This window comes from Homo sapiens, chromosome 5 (genome assembly GCF_000001405.40).
Source record: "Homo sapiens chromosome 5, GRCh38.p14 Primary Assembly".
Lineage (NCBI taxonomy): Eukaryota > Metazoa > Chordata > Mammalia > Primates > Hominidae > Homo > Homo sapiens.
In genome coordinates this window covers 1,416,878-1,433,516 of record NC_000005.10, presented here as the reverse complement: position 1 = coordinate 1,433,516, position 16,639 = coordinate 1,416,878, and the positions used below count along the sequence as shown (strand labels likewise).

The 16,639-nt window shown below is 53.3% G+C and overlaps 1 protein-coding gene across 1 annotated transcript in view, besides 1 other annotated feature; it reads left to right on the top strand.

Moving 5' to 3' along the window:
- SLC6A3 (solute carrier family 6 member 3) overlaps positions 1-16,639 on the top strand; it is a 52,647-nt gene that overhangs the window by 11,924 nt on the left and 24,084 nt on the right. Inside the window, exons 4-6 of the mRNA NM_001044.5 lie at positions 819-1,053; positions 11,503-11,641; positions 12,814-12,948. Of these exons, the coding sequence (NP_001035.1) occupies positions 819-1,053; positions 11,503-11,641; positions 12,814-12,948 (509 nt within the window). The remainder of the gene's footprint in view (positions 1-818; positions 1,054-11,502; positions 11,642-12,813; positions 12,949-16,639) is intronic.
- Positions 10,322-10,847: an enhancer, noted in NCBI's record as "H3K27ac-H3K4me1 hESC enhancer chr5:1422785-1423310 (GRCh37/hg19 assembly coordinates)". NCBI's record gives its function as "activates a minimal SCP1, AML or CMV promoter by ChIP-STARR-seq in naive H9 embryonic stem cells {active_cell/tissue: H9 hESC(naive)}" and the evidence as "EXISTENCE:reporter gene assay evidence [ECO:0000049][PMID:30033119]".

The window sequence follows — 16,639 nt, the reverse complement described above, 5'->3', positions numbered from 1 at the left end:
GGATAGTTGTGGATGAATGGAGATGGCTGTGGATGGCCATGGATGGCCCTTTGCGACTCAAAGTGGCCCTGGATTAGCCTGGGTGGCCATATGTGGTCCTGGGTGCCCTCCATAGTCCTGAATGAGCCTGGTGGCTGTGGATGGCTGTCAAGGACCCCAGGTGTCCCTTAGTGACTATTGGCAGTCTTGATGGCTCTGGGAGACACTGGGTGTTCCTGGGTAACCCTAGACGACCTTTGATGGCCCTATTTGCATGGGCTCCCTAGGTAGCCCTGGGTGCTTCTGGGTGGCCGTGGATGATTCTGATGGTTTCACATGGGCCTGATAGCCCTGGTTAACCATGAGTTGGGTTGCCCTGGGTCACCCAGAGTACCCCCTAGATGGCCTCAATGATCCTGGATGACTCTTATGGATCCTGAGTGGCTGTGGTGGGGATGGATGACCATATGTGGCTGGGGGTGACCTTGGTGTCCCTGGGGGTCTCTGGGTGCATAAGGGTGGCCCTGGATACTCGCCATAGCTCTGGGTGACCTTGCTGGCTCTGGATGTCTCTCAGAGACACCCTGAAAGTCCTTGTGTAGGAGTGCATGGTTTTGGGGAGTGGGCAGCTTCTTCTCTGTGGTCACAGTGTGAAATCTGGTCTCAGGCCTTTCACGGGCCTTCCCTGCATGTTTGAAGATGCTGTCTGGCATCAGGGCTGTCCAGGAGTTGTGGGCTCAGGGTAATGTCTCCCGTGAGGGGAGGTGGAAGGGACACGTTGCTGATGGTGGCTCTGTGCTCCACCTGCGTGGGCTCCATGGCCTCCCCCTTCCCGCTAGGTGTGGGCTTCACGGTCATCCTCATCTCACTGTATGTCGGCTTCTTCTACAACGTCATCATCGCCTGGGCGCTGCACTATCTCTTCTCCTCCTTCACCACGGAGCTCCCCTGGATCCACTGCAACAACTCCTGGAACAGCCCCAACTGCTCGGATGCCCATCCTGGTGACTCCAGTGGAGACAGCTCGGGCCTCAACGACACTTTTGGGACCACACCTGCTGCCGAGTACTTTGAGTAAGTGGGAGTCGGGTCCTCGGGAACGGGAGAGATGGCGCAGCCAGGTCCCCCATGGTAGCCCCTTGGTTGGACACCAGCCCTTGCTGACTCCCAGGGTGCGGGGAGGGGGAATCTGTTCCTGCACTCCATCCCTTTAGTGCTCTGGAGGGGCACATTTCTGAATCACTGTGGTGGTCTCCAGGAGCTCAGCAAAGCTCCTGTAGGGCGAGCCCTCAGCAAGGATGGGGCACTGAGCAGCTCCCTTGGCTGCTCCCAGCGGCAGCTCAGGGTGGGAGGGGGCTGATGGGGAACACAGCAGACCCTGTGCAGAAGGTGGGCAAGCTCCAGTCTCTGGGAGCTGCAGTGGCGCCTCTGGAGTGAGTCAGCCCCATGTCTGGGCTCCCTTCCTCCCTACCCTTCCTCTGTGCATAGCATGGGGCCGAACTGCCTCACTCCGGCCCTTGCCCTCTCCAGAAAAGATAACTTTCTGGGTGTCACTGCGCAAGAAGTCTCTGGCTTCAGTAGGCAGCCCCTGTCTCCAGGGTGACCCAGCCGTCCGCTTTTCACAAGACTTTGTTTTGTTGTTTACCTGCATGGCTTTATTTCTGTCTCTGGGCCTCTTTCCACCTCCCATGCCAGCGTATCCCATGTCCAGCAGCCTCCTGGGTCTCTGTCTCCTTCTCCCTTTGCCCTGGCCAGGCCTGACCTGCACAGTCCTCCCCAGCCAGGCCAGTTCCTCACTGCCCACCCCAGCCAGGCCCAACCCTCACTGTCCACCCCAGCCAGGCACAAACCACAAAGTCCACCCCAGCCAGGCCCCTCGCTCACTGTCCACCTCGGCCAGGCCCACCCCACACCGTCCACCCCGGCCAGGCCCGCCCCTCATGGTCCACCCCGGCCAGGCCCACCCCTCACCGTCCACCCCGGCCAGACCCAACCCACACTGTCTACCCTGGTCAGGCCCATCCCTCACTATCCACCCCGGCCAGGCCTGATCCTCACTGTCCATCCCAGCCAGGCCCAACCCATACAGTCCACCCCGACCAGCCCCAACCCGCACAGTCCACCCCATCCAGGCCCGTCCCTCACTGTCCACCCAGGCCAGGCCCGCCCCTCACCATCCACCTGCAGCACCTGCTTTCCTGGACCCCGATGTCTCCGATGAAGTCCTTTTGGGCCCCGTGCCAGCTCCTGCTGGCCCTCCCTCGTCACCAATGGCCTGGCCCAGCCTGGAAGGGTCGTTACTGACACCCAGGGGTTCCCTGTTTCCCCTGGACCCCTCCCGGAATCTGGATCTGGCGGGTGCCATCCACATCTTCCTGCCCTCGCCAGCCGGGCCTGGGGCCTCGTGCCGGGTCGCCGTTCTGACAGGCGGACTCTTCGACTCAGCCGTCATTTTGGAGAGGAGGAGAGGACGTTTGCGCGATTCTCCCCAGATCCAGTGTTTCCCGTCAGCCAGGGCGCTCCTGTTTGGGGGGCTCGCTTGCCTGGTTAGACGCATCTTATTCACGTTTATATGCCAAAATGAGTCCACTTCAAGGTAGGAAAAGGAACTTTGACCAGTAAGACTAATTCCAGTTTTAACAGCCAGTAGGTGCCTTTGCAAAATTTGTTTTGAGTCAGAAAACAGGGAGCTTGAAAGCAAATGAAGCATCTCATGTTAAGTTTGTACAAGTCACGGTGAGCAGAGAAGCCCCCACCTCGCCTCTGCTGGGGGAGGATCATCCCCGAGAACTTTGGTCTTGGTCTGCAAGGGCACCTTCGGGGCGCACAGCCTCCCAGAGAGATGCTTTCTATATCTGAAAACCGTATCAACAGACATCACTGAGGTCTTTTCCTGCAAGGAAGGGACCTTCGCCCTCTCCTGGGGGTCTTGTCAGAGATGGCTGAGATGGAGCCTTCGGGCAGGCCGGAGGGTGTGGCTTGGAGAAAGTAGGGCTGATGCTGCCGGAAAGGGACCAGTTCTCATGGTGGGCAGGCGTTCGGTCTCTCAAACTGCTCTGCACTCAGATATTCAGAACCCAAGTGCTTGGTTCTAGAATTCCTCCTCGGGCATGGAAGCATATTGCCGGGACTGGCCTTGGAGGTGAGGAGCCGGGGCGGAGGCAGGTTTTGGGGGGCCACCCGGCGTTTTTCTTAGAGCATGAGGAAGACCATGGGTCGCGTGGGGTGAGCGTTGTGTGGGCCTTTCTTGTGGTTTGGGAGTGGACAAGAGTGACGAACTCTGAGGAGGACGGTGCCACGATGGGAGAGAGTGGCCCACCAAGTACCCAGCAGGAGGAGAGAGAGTCCAGGCTGGGGCGCCAGGAAGACGCTCATGGGAGGAGGGCTGGTTTCAGAAGGTGGGGCAGGCGGGAGAGAAGATGCACCCGGGATGAGTCCTGGTTGTTTGCCTGAAGACACTTGGACGAGCATCGCCATAGGAAGCGCAGCTGCAGGCAAGGTCGTGGGAGAGTCTGGGCAGGACTCTCGTGGGTGACAGGCAAGCGGGAAATGATAAAATTGTCCAAATAATGCACAGTCACACCATTTGTCCAAGTAGATTTTAACATTCTCGAGGGAGAAAACTCCCATTGCGTGTGGATGGCCTGTTCACACCTACATTTCCCTAATTAAACACCCTATGAACACCCCAGGCCTGGGCTGCATGTGCTCTTGCTGTGTGCCCAGCTCTCAGGGTTAGCATGTGATCAAAGAGAGGGGACAGCAGGAGAAAGTGGGGGGCACACAGAGCCAGGGGCAGTGGCCGCAGAGGTGCCACCAGGGCAAGAGCCTGAGAGTTCCCGGTACCCAACGCCCTGTTAAAGCTGCCAAGTGCTGCCATGTGGGGACTGCCTTCCTTTTGTTTGGGCAGTGTGGGAAATGTTGACTCATTGAAGTGATGTTCAGATAACAGAATTGGAGAGGAAAACTTAGTGTAGTGATTAGTCCAGTGATTCGTTGTTAAGAATGCTAGAAGGAAAGAACACGTGTTATTATTTTAAACGATCAGACTAGCGAAGTCTATTTGGAAGTTCTCAGTCTGGAAGGAAGGAAGGAAACAGAAAGGTGCCCAGCCCTTCACTCAGAAGCCCTGTCCGCACTGGCACGTGGTACACTTTAGCTGGCGGCAGCTCAAGAGCAGACGTGGGGAGTTGGAGAAGGTTTAAGATCAATTCACAAATGATTAATGACCCAAGGCACTGAGGTGCTTGGCACTCCTCCCACACCTTCTGAAGGTGATTTTCCCACCAGTGGGACTGAGGTTCCCCTGAAACAGGCCCCAGTGACTCTTGGGGAGCAGGGAGGACAGTCATAACGTACTCAGGTCTGCCAGGGGTGTTCTGGATTTCAAACCTGCTTTATAAAGCAGATCACTGGACAAAGGATGTCGGGTTCCTGCCAGCGCATGTAATCAGGGAGTGGATGTCTCACTGTGAAAGGCCATAAAGGCCAGAGTGGCTGTGATGTGTGACAGTGCAGCTCTTTGTCCTAGATAATGGGCATGCCTGACTTTGTCAGTAAACACAAAAGGGATTGAGTTTCCTACACAATGTACGAAACATGACGTGTCATAAATTTGACAACTAAGATGTTAGCAAGAGTAGATCTGAAAGGGCTTTATCGTGCGTTTTTACTACAGGTCCTCAGGAAGTAACCGTGAGGCCTGGGTGAGACGCTGGCCATGTCTTCTGGGCCCTAAGTCAGAAAAGACTGCTGAGCTGCCCCACTAATGGTGCTTCCTCCATGTGCCATGAATGCCGTGTGCAGTGCTGGCTCCTACACCCAGTGTTCCTCAGGGTTGGCAAATGAAACGTATCCTGTGGGAGTTGCTGGCACCCCTGGCCCCCAGGGGTCCCAGCCAGCCTTCCTGCATTGCCACTTCCTTCTTGGGCAGCAGCCCACCCACCAGAGGGAGGTGGCAGAAATGGTTCCTGGAGAGAAATAAAAGGAACCCTTCCTTGTAGGAACCTGGAGATTATTGATTGGCTGCATCCCACACATTTGATATGCTGTGTTTTCATTTCAAAACCCCAACACAGGACCACATAACTGTGACCAGTTTACAGTTTCCCCACTTCCATAAATACTTATCGACACTGCCTAATATAAATTATAAAGTTATAAATTAAAGCTATTAATTTGCCTCAAATGGACTGCATTAGCTGCATCCCACAAAGTTTGATATGCTGTGTTTTCATTTCATTCAGTTCAAAGTATTCCCTAATCTTTCTTTTGATTTCTATTTGACTAACAGGGCATTTTTAGAAGTTTGTTGTTTAATTTGAAATATTTGGAAGTTTGCTAGGTATTTTTGTTATTGATTTCTAATTTAATTCTGTTTTGGCAAGATGATATGCTTATACATCTTTAATATTTTAAAATATATTGAGACTTGTTTATGACCTACTAGATGGTTTACACTGGTGAATGTTCCACATGCACCTAGAAAGAATATGTATTCTGCTGTCTTTGGTTGGAAAGTTGCATAAATGTCAGAGAGGTTATGTTAGGTCACTGTGTTTTTCAGGTTTTCTACATCCTTACTGGTTTTCTGTCCACTTGCTCTATCAGTTACTGAGAAAGGGGTACTGAAATCTCAACTGTAACTGTAGATTTGTCTATTTCTTTTCACTTCTATCAGTATTTGCTTCATTCACATATTTTGAAACTCTGCTATGAAGTGCATACATGTTTATTATTATTAGTCTTTGAATTGACCGCTTTACCATTTGAACTATCCTTCTGGGTTAGATTTCTCATTCTGAAGTCTACTTTGTCTGATAGTAATATGGCCACCCCAACTTTCGTATCATTACTGTTTGTGTGGTATTATCTTTTCCAGCCTTTTATTTTTAAACTATATGTGTCATTATATATAAAATGGATTTATTGTAGACACCATCGAGTTGGTTGTGCTTTTTATCCAATATGGCAATCTCTGTTTTTTAATTAGAGTTTCCATTCAATAATTGTCAGCATGGCTGGCTTTAAGTCTTTCATTGTGCTAATTTTTTGCCCCCTCTCTTCTTTGTTTCTTGTTTCCTCTATTTATTCCCTGTTTTGAATTAATTTTTTAGGCTTTCATTTTATCAACACTATTAGCTAATAAACTATAGCTTTCTGTTTTCATTTCTTCGTGGATTTTATAGGGTTTACAACACTGACCTTCAAGTGACATGATACCGTTTCACAGAGCAGAAGGGCCTACAACAGTAGACTTCTGTTTTCCTCACATCCTTTGTGCAATTGTTGTCATAGATTTTTTCTACAATATGTATCAACTCCATGATACCTTGCTGTTATTTCTGCTTTAAGCATTTACATTTTAAATAAATCTAACAAAGAAATGTTTTATATTTACCTGCATAGGCACCATCTCTAGTGCTGTCCGGTCCTGTATGTAGATTGGGGTTTCCATTTAAGACCATCTTCCTTCCATCTAAAGAATTTCCTTTAACATTTCTCATAGCGTAGACTTGCTGGCAGTGATTCAGCTTGGGCTTTACACAAAAGTATTTTGCCTTCTTGGGGGGCTATTGTGGTAAGCTATACATAGCATTGCTTTTACCACCTTAGCCATTTTTCAGTGCACAGTTCAGTGGCATTAGGTACAATCACATGTTGTGCAACCATCACCATCATCCATTGGAACTTTCTCCTCCTCCAAAGCTGAAATTTTGTCCCCATTAAATACTAAGTCCCCATCCTCCCTCACTGCAGCCCCTGGCAGCTACCATTCTACTTTCTGTCTCTGTGAATTTGTCTACTCTAGGTCCCTCCTCTGAGTAGAATCACTTATTTTTTTGTGACTGCCTTATTTTCCTTAGCATATGTCTTCAAGGTTTATTGAAGAATTTCAGAACCAGAATTTCATTCCTTTTTAAGGCCAAATAATATTTCAATTCCATTGTATGGATATATCATGTTTTGTTTATCCATTTATCTTTTTCCTTTTTAGAGACAGGATCTCACTCTGTTGTCCAGGCTGGAGTGTGCAGTGGTATGATCACGGCTCACTGCAGGCTTGACCTTCTGGGCTCAAGCAATCCTCCTGCCTCAGACTCCCAAGTAGCTGGGACTACAGGTATGTGACACCACATCCAGCTAATTTTTTAAAATTTTTTGTAAAGTGGGGTCTTGCCATGTTGCCCAGGCCTGTCTTAAACTCCTGGGCTCAAGTAATCCTCCCGCCTCAGCTTCCCAGAGCACTGCAATTACAAATGTAAGCCACCACACCTGGCCAGATCTATTTATCTTTTGATGGACATTTGGGTTGCTTCCACATTTTGGCTACTGTAAAAACATGCTGCTATGAACCTCAATATTGAGTACCTACTTTTGAGTAGATACCCAGAAGTTGAATTGCTGGAGCTATGTGATAATTCTGTGTTTAATTTTTTGAGGAACCACCACACTGTTTCCCACAGTGGATGCAAATCGGAACAAGGGTTCTGATTTCCCCACATCCTTGACAACACTTACTTTCTGCTTGTTTGTTTTGATCATAGCCATCCTAATGGGTGTGAAGTGGTCTGTCATTGTATTTTTGATTTGTATTTCCTTAATGATTAGTGACTGTTGGGCATCTCTTCATGTGTTTATTGGCCATTTGTATACCATCTTTGGAGCAATGTCTATTCAAGTCCTTTGCCCATTTTTGAATTGGGCTGTCAGTTTTTTTGTTGTTGAGTTTTAGGAGTTCTTTACATATTTTAGATATTATTCTCTTTTCAGATTAATAGGTGATTTGCGAATATTTTCTCTCATTCTGTAGTTTTCCTTTTTACTCTGTTGATAGCATCCTTCAGTGCACAAAAGTTTTAAATTTTGATGAAGTCTAATTCATCTTTTGTGTCATATCTAAGAAACCATTGCCAAGTCCAAGATTGTGAAAATTTACCCTATGTTCTCTTCCAAGAGTTTTATGGTTTTAGCCCTTATATTTGGCTCTTTTATCCATTTTGGGTTAATTTTTCTATATCATGTGAAGTAGCTGTTCACTGATTTTCCTCTGGTTGTAGATCACATTTCTTGCTTCTTGTCATGTCTAGTAATTTTTTATTAGATGCTAGACTTGGTGAGTTTTATACTAATGGGTATTTAGCTCTTGTCGTCTTTGTTTAGAGAGTGTTAGATTTGTTCTAATAGGAAGTTAACGTGCTTTGGCACAATTTTATCCTTTGGAAGCTTGTTTCACCACCTCACTGCCTTGGCTCCCTCTTGGTAAAACGGGGTGAGAGGGCTGCTGTGAGGTCATCACAATGATGCATGGGAGGCCTGAGCATGCCTGGATCACCACCAGTGGCTCCACTGTCACCCAATTGAATCATGGCCAGGAATTCACCAGGAAAAAGAGCCCAGTAGAAATTGGGAGGTGCTGTGTCTTTTCCACGCCTGGTGAACATCCTGGGCCAACACTTTTCTGGTCCTCCCAACTATTATGGCTTATGAAACACCTGCACGTAGGCCTGCACTTATGCCCCTTCCCGGATGTCCTTTGATGGTCTCGCCTGCCCTGCCCTCAGAAGCATGGACATGCTGGGAGACGCACAGCTTTCCCCTGCTCCTGGCATGGCTGGTTCCCATGCTGTGGTCAGCTCTGGGGACCCCTCTTCTCAGGTTGACAGCACTCAGGAGTGTCCGGTTCTCTAAATTGTCTGTGGGTTTTCAAATAACCTCAAAGCACAGTGACTTTCTAATCTCGAGAAGGGGCTCGACCCAGTGTGTCAAGGTGCTGCGTCTGAAGTTGCTTTCATGTTTAATGCTGAGCCAGCTGTGTGTGCTGTGGACGCAACCTTGTGAGAAGGCCCTGAGTGGGGCAGCGCACTTTCCCTGGGCCTCCCCCTCTGGTCCAGGAGGGCCTGTGCCATGTATGGGCATTGACTGAGTTTGCCTTTTCTCCAGGCACCTGGGCAAGGGGAGAGGGTGTGCTGTCTGGTCTGGGTGTATAATTCATGCACGTGTGTGTGTGAGGCACTGAGGCTGCCAAGGCGTGGGCGGGTGGCATGCTGGGGTCAGTGACACCATGGGCAGTGAGGGAGGAGTGGTCCGGGCTGCACAAAGTTGCTGGGAGGCCTCAGAAGCTCTCAGTGATGAGACCTTGCTGGGGGAGCAGAACGACGGGGACTGGCCAGCAGGGGCAGAGCCTGGTGTGTGGCAGGAGGAGTGAGAAGAAGGCCCTGGGAGTCCCCACTGCCCCAGGAAGGGCAGGCGTGACCTCCACCAGCTCAGACAACTTTCCCTGCACAGTGCGGGTGACGGATAGCCTCTTGACTGAGCGGCTTGCCCTTGGAGAAGAGCAGAGAATGGTGGCGATGGTTTCAGTGGTGCAGCCATCTGCCCACCCGGCCAACCTGGGGCCTGTGCCAACCTGGGGCCTCTGCCTGGGCGCCCTCCAGGATAGGACGGAGGCACTGTCCAGCGCTTTCAGGGCTCGTGGGGCCTTCCCTGTTGGCAACAGCCAGGGTGTCTGGAGTTTGAAGAGCCGAATTCCTGGGACATGGCCCTGGAATGCCTTGCAGCTGGTGGAAAGCTCCCCAAGGCTGCATTCGGCCGGGCTCCACCATGGGTGTCAGGTTTTATCTCCTGGGGACCTCAGTGGACCCACAACAGAAGCAAACCTGGGCAGTGGGAGCTCCTTTCATAACGCGGCTTCTGTCTGTCACAGCTCCTGACTCTACGGTGGCAGCGGCACGGCTGTTACAGTTGTCTTGGCCCCAAGTCACAGTCTGCAGTGGTGACGCAGCTGACTGCATGTAGCCTGGTGCATGTTCTCCCACAGAGAGTGTCACCAGGATGGAATGAGTTCCCACAGACAGGGGGCCCAGGACCTGTGCCTGGGGCAAGGAGCACAGCCGATGGTCAGCTCCATCCCTCACCCTCTGTTCTGCCCTTTCTGAGGGATCCTTCAAAAAACAGTGGAACTGCGAGTGATTCCTGCTGGAGCAGAGTCATCCACTGAATCTGTTCCTTGTGGAATCCTCATAGCAGCAGGGGCTGTGAGCAGGTGTCGTGAGCCATCCCCTCAGAAAACAGTGCTGGCTGGTGCCTGTGTGCCTGGCATTATTGCTAGAGTTTGCTCGGCCTCATCCCTGGAGAGGGACCCTGGGGCTGTCTTGTGGGCAGCAGTGGGTACCCAGCAGCGTGGGCAGCACTGTGGGCAGCGGTGGGTACCCAGCACCATGGGCAGCACTGGGCAGCGGTGGGTACCCAGCACCGTGGGCAGCACTGTGGGCAGCAGTGGGTACCCAGCACCATGGGCAGCACCGTGGGCAGCGGTGGGTACCCAGCACCATGGGCAGCACTGGGCAGCAGTGGGTACCCAGCAGCGTGGGCAGCACTGTGGGCAGCGGTGGGCACCTAGCACCGTGGGCAGCACTGGGCAGCAGTGGGTACCCAGCAGCGTGGGCAGCACTGTGGGCAGTGGTGGGTACCCAGCACCTTGGGCAGTACTGTGGGCAGTGGTGGGTACCCAGCACCTTGGGCAGCACTGGGCAGCAGTGGGTACCCAGCAGCGTGGGCAGCACTGTGGGCAGCGGTGGGCACCCAGCAGCGTGGGCAGCACTGTGGGCAGCGGTGGGTACCCAGCACCATGGGCAGCACTGTGGGCAGCGGTGGGCACCCAGCACCATGGGCAGCACTGGGCAGCAGTGGGCACCCAGCAGCGTGGGCAGCACTGTGGGCAGCGGTGGGTACCCAGCACCGTGGGCAGCACTGTGGGCAGCGGTGGGCACCCAGCACCTTGGGCAGCACTGGGCAGCGGTGGGCACCCAGCACCGTGGGCAGCACTGTGGGCAGTGGTGGGCACCCAGCACCATGGGCAGCACTGGGCAGCGGTGGGTACCCAGCACCATGGGCAGCACTGGGCAGCGGTGGGCACCCAGCACCATGGGCAGCACTGGGCAGCGGTGGGTACCCAGCAGCGTGGGCAGCACTGTGGGCAGCGGTGGGCACCCAGCAGCGTGGGCAGCACTGTGGGCAGCGGTGGGCACCCAGCAGCGTGGGCAGCACTGTGGGCAGCGGTGGGCACCCAGCAGCGTGGGCAGCACTGTGGGCAGCGGTGGGTACCCAGCAGCGTGGGCAGCACCGTGGGCAGCGGTGGGCACCCAGCACCTTGGGCAGCACTGGGCAGTGGTGGGCACCCAGCATTGCTCAGCAACTTCCTTTTGGTTTCTGTGGCTCCTTTTCTTCAAAGACCCAAGGTGCCCTCCGCCTCCGCAGCTCCAGTGAGCAGGGGTGCCAAGGGCAGATGGTGAGGCAGGGCTTCCTGGGCCTCCCACGTGCTCCACGGGTTTCAAGGGCGGCCCTGACACCTCTGCCAGGGCCTGTGGGCCAGACCTCCCTGGAAGGCATCTCTTGTCCATCAGACTGGATGCTTTCTGCCCTGCTGAGATGGGGAGGGCAGGTCCCCGGACAAGCTCAGCCGTCCAGTTCCAGGTGGGTTGACAGCCACCCACAGAGTCCCCCGCTGACTCCCCTCTGCAGACGTGGCGTGCTGCACCTCCACCAGAGCCATGGCATCGACGACCTGGGGCCTCCGCGGTGGCAGCTCACAGCCTGCCTGGTGCTGGTCATCGTGCTGCTCTACTTCAGCCTCTGGAAGGGCGTGAAGACCTCAGGGAAGGTGAGGCTCGGGGGTCACCAATTGGGCCTGTAGACATGGGGCCACCAAGTGGACATGTGGCCGTGGCTGGACAGGAGGTGCACGTGTGGCCTCAGTTGGGTTTTGTGCTACCAATGTGGCCATGGCCAGGTTGGGGTGGACACATGGCCATGGTTGAGTTTGGGAGACTCATATGGCCATAATCAGGTTGGGAGTGTACACGTGGCCATGATTGAGGGTACACCTGTGGCTGTGCCGGGTTGGCTTGGGTAGACGCGCGGCCATGGGTGGGTGGGGGGACACGTGGCCGTGGCTGGGCTGGGCGGACACACGGCACAGTTGGGTTTTGGGTCCACGTGTGGCTGTGTTTGGGGAAGGGCCTCAGGAGGGAAGCACTCACAGCAGTGTTTCTGGCAGGAAGGCACACACAAGATGATTTTTTTGTTGATAAAAATACTTTGGGAGGCTGAGACGGGCAGATCACCTGAGGTCAGGGGTTCAAGAACAGCCTGGCCAACATGATGAAACCCCATCTCTACTAAAAATACGAAATTAGCCAGGCACGGTGGCACGTGCCTATAATCCCAGCTACGTGGGAGGCTGAGGCAGGAGAATTGCTTGAACCCAGGAGGCGGAGGTTGCAGTGAGCCAAGATCATGCCACTGCACTCCAGCCTGGGCAAAAAGAGCAAAACTCCATCTCAAAAAAAAAAAAAAAACTTTGGTTGTTATATGGGCCAAAACCAGTTTTGACCAAGATACGACTCCTCCCTTGGAAAAGTGCGTGTAGTATGGCACCAGCCACGGGAGCCTCCCGCAGGGACACAGCCCAGAGCAGCCCTTCATCGTGCCACAGTGCCGTTCACCAGTGTGAATCCACTCACGTCCCACGCATCAGAAAACCCCCATCAGCCACTCCCAGCTACTCTGGCGGACCGAATGCAGAAAAGGAATGTGCTTTCCCTGCCAAGTTGTTCTTCCCTTTCCATCCCTGGGGAGGGTGTGCAGGACAGAAAGTGTCTGACCTTCTCACTCCAAGGAGCATTTGCTGAGCTGGCGTCCCAGGAAATGTTTGGGAATTGGGCCTCCCAATCAGAGGACAAGCCGTCAGGGCAACCCGGTGCCCTTGTGCCAGTGTCTGCTCCCACCAAGGGCCCTGCCTGTGCAGCCTGGTGACACTGTCCTCTCCTGCAGGTGGTATGGATCACAGCCACCATGCCATACGTGGTCCTCACTGCCCTGCTCCTGCGTGGGGTCACCCTCCCTGGAGCCATAGACGGCATCAGAGCATACCTGAGCGTTGACTTCTACCGGCTCTGCGAGGCGTCTGTGAGTACAGTCTGCTCACTGCTTCACAGTCCACAGGGGCTCTGGCATTCCCAGGTTTCCATATGCATTGCCTGCCAGGGCTGAGAGGTGTCAGAGTTGCAGACACCAGGGTTCTTTCCTCGGGAAGCCAAATCCCAAGTACCTGTGATACAGCACGAGTCATCTAAATCAAATTACATCAGAAACTCCATCTAGACTCAGGCTGCAGCTTTGGTCAGCAAAAGAAGACATAATTCAGGGTTAAAATATTTGGAGAAAGCCTCCCGGAGAGAGGAGACTCAGCTGGGCCATGGGGGATGGGACCCTTGTCCAGAAAGGGAGGAGAAAGGGCTGCACCCTTCCTGGCAAACAGGCCCAGAAACAGAAGCAGCTGTTGGCGGAAGGCTGGCATGACAAAAATGGCAGCTCCCTTGGGGCATCGTTGGAAATCAGGTGGACTAAGTGGGGGAGGTGGCAGGCCCCAAAGCCGCCCAGGGGCATCCATGTTGCTGTGGGAGGACAATGCAGCAAGAGGGGAAGGGCCATCTCAGCTGGGGTATGAGGCAGGAGGCCGTTGAGAGGTGCTGCCCTGTGTGGGTGGGCCGGTGGAGCCAGGTCTGGGGGTCATGAGGCAAGTGTAAACCCAAGGCAGAAGTGGGAAGGAAGGGGAGAAGGGATGGGCGGGCATGGCTGCAAGCCTCCCAGGAAGCCCCAGGGAGGCAGCAGCTGACAGGTGCAGTGAGAGAGGGCACCTGGACATGGCACCTATGAGGCTGCAAAGCAGTTGGGTGGGGGTGGGGGTGGAAGTGTGCCTGCAGCACTGAAGGGGAAGCCCTGTGGAGACAGGAGCCATGGGTGCAGCAGGCGTGTGGCCCACGGGAGCCAAGGAAGAGAGAGGAGGACAACCAGGGCAGCAAAATCAGCTGTGGCCGGGGGCCCACAAGTGCAGAGCTGGAGCCAGACAAACCATGAAGTCAGCAGGGCGTCTGGACCCCAGAAAGGCCAAAATGAAGCCAAGGGGTGTGTTTGCAGGACCATGGCATGTTACAGAATCAAAGAAAAATACCACAAGGACAACGTAGAGCCTAGTGCTCCAGCTAGGAAGAATAGGCAGCCCCAGGAGGAGGCAAAACAAACACCAGTGCATGTGAAAAGATGCTCACTGGAGAACAAATTACAAAGATGAGATGTCAGAAATTAGGTGGAGACAGTGAATAGATTGGATGGATGGATGGATGGATGGATGGATGGATGGATGGATGGATGAATGCTAGGTAAGTAGGTGGATAGGATGGATGGATGATAGGTGGGTAGATAGAATGGATAGATAGGATGGGTGGATGGAAGGCTGGCTGGCTGGATGTATGGATAATGGATGGGTGGATGGAGGAATGGATGATAGGTAGGTAGCTGGATAGTATGGATGGATGGATGATGGATGGATGGATGGATGGATGAATGGATGATGCATGGGTGAATGGGTGGATGAATGATAGGTAGCTAGATAGGATGGACAGATGGATAATGGATGGATGATGGATGGGATGGATGGGTGGATGGATGATGGGTGGATTGCTGGATGATGGATGGCTGGGTGGATGGATGAATGATAGGTAGGTAGCTGGATAGCATGGATGGATGGATGGATGGATGATGAATGGATGATGGATGGGTGAATGGGTGGATGAATGATAGGTAGGTAGCTAGATAGGATGGATGGATGGATGGATAATGGATGGATGACGGGTGGGTGGATGGATGATGGGTGGATTGCTGGATGATGGATGTTTGGGTGGATGGATGAATGATAGGTAGGTAGCTGGACAGCATGGATGGATGGATGGATGATGGATGGGTGGGTGGATGGATGGATGGATGGATGATGGGTGGATTGGTGGATGATGGACAGATGGGTGGATGGATGAATGATAGGTAGCTGGATAGCATGGATGGATGGATCGATGATGGATGGGTGGATGGATGGATGATGGATGGGTGGATGGATGGATGATAGGTAGGTAGATAGGATGGATATACAATAGGATGGATGGAGATAGATACATACACACACATGTACTTCATATATTCATAGATGATAGACAGTTGATAGATTATAGAGATGACAGATAGATGATAGATTGGTGATGGATTGATAGATGACAGTGATAGATGATAGATAGATAGATGATTGATTGATAGATAATAGATGATGGATTGATGTATAGTGAAGAGAAATCAGGAAAGAAATGGAAGGAAAGGACAATTGCAGGTCCTGGAGTGAAAGTGCATGAGGTGAGGCCCAGGGAGGCAGCCATGGGCACTGGCTCTGGTGTGGCACTGGGCAGAGGCCTGAGCTGCACACACAGATCAGGGTGAGGAGGAGGCAGGCGCTCCCCTGTGACACCTGATCCAGCCTGCAGCTACCTGGCCAGGCAGGTGGCTGATGACCAGCATGGGAGCCACATCAGGGTATGAGCCTCTCCACCCACTGCCCACCCAGCCACTCTCGGCTTGGCTCCTCCCCTCATGCTGAAACACTGGCCACCTGCAGAGTCCTGACTGCGGGGCCTGGCCATCTGCCTCCAAACACACTGTCCCAGGAACTGGGGTTGCCTTGAGGCTCTGACATGCTGCCCAAAGGACAGAGGGCCCCGCCCCCTCTGCAGCACCCAGTTCCCTTGCTCAGTCAAGCTCAGGCAAGCTTGACCTGGGACCTGGGATGCCCTGAGACCCACCTGGCCTCCCCAGCAGGAGCATCTGGTGTCTCTGCCTCAGCATCCTGGCCCACAGGCCTGTACCATGGGCTCCAGGGACTTGCAGGAACAGCCCTAACTGACCAGTCCCTCAAATGCCTCCAAGGGGGGGTTGGCTGCTCCTTCTCCCCCATCCAAGGCCCAGGGAAGGGCAAGGTGGGCATCTGAGTCACTGAATGGTCTCCGCAGTGCCCTCACCTTAGCAGGTTGTGGCTGACTTTTTAAAATACCACAATGGTCCAATCGTGGACCCACCCACCTTTCCTTTCACGTCCAGAGTTGTGGGTGCCATCCACCGAGTTGGGCAGGCACAGCACCAGTGTCTAAGCTGCAGGTGGGCTCCTGGCCATGCCCAGGTGCCACTGTGCACCTGTACTGCTCATGTTTTGGGAAGGATACAAAGCAGGCATTGCTGGTGTGCGTCCAATCAGGACACCATCATCATGTAGCATGTGGATGGGTCCATGCCTTTCTGAGGGTTATCAGGGTGCTGCCATCATGCAGCATGTGGATGATCCATGCTGTTCTGAGGGTTGTCAGGGCGCCACCATCATGTAGCCTCAGGATGAGTTTATGTTGTTCTGAGGGTTATCAGGGTGCCGCCATCATGCAGCTTGTGGATGATCCATGATGTTCTGAGGGTTATCAGGAAGCCGCCATCATGTAGCCTGTGGTTGAGTCTGTGCTGTTCTGAGGGTTTCAGGGCACTGCCATCATGCAGCAGGGCGCACATGGGATGGGGGGACACACTCAGGGGGTTGTGAAGCTGGACCCTGATCAAGGGAGGATGGAGACCCCGCTAGGGCTGGTGTGAGTGTGGATAAGTCCATGCTGTTCTGAGGGTTATCAGGGCGCCGCGGTCATGTTGTGTGTGGATGAGTTCATGACTTTCTGAGGGTTATCAGGGTGCCACCATTATGCAGCATGTGGATGAATCTGTGCTGTTCCGAGGGTTGTTA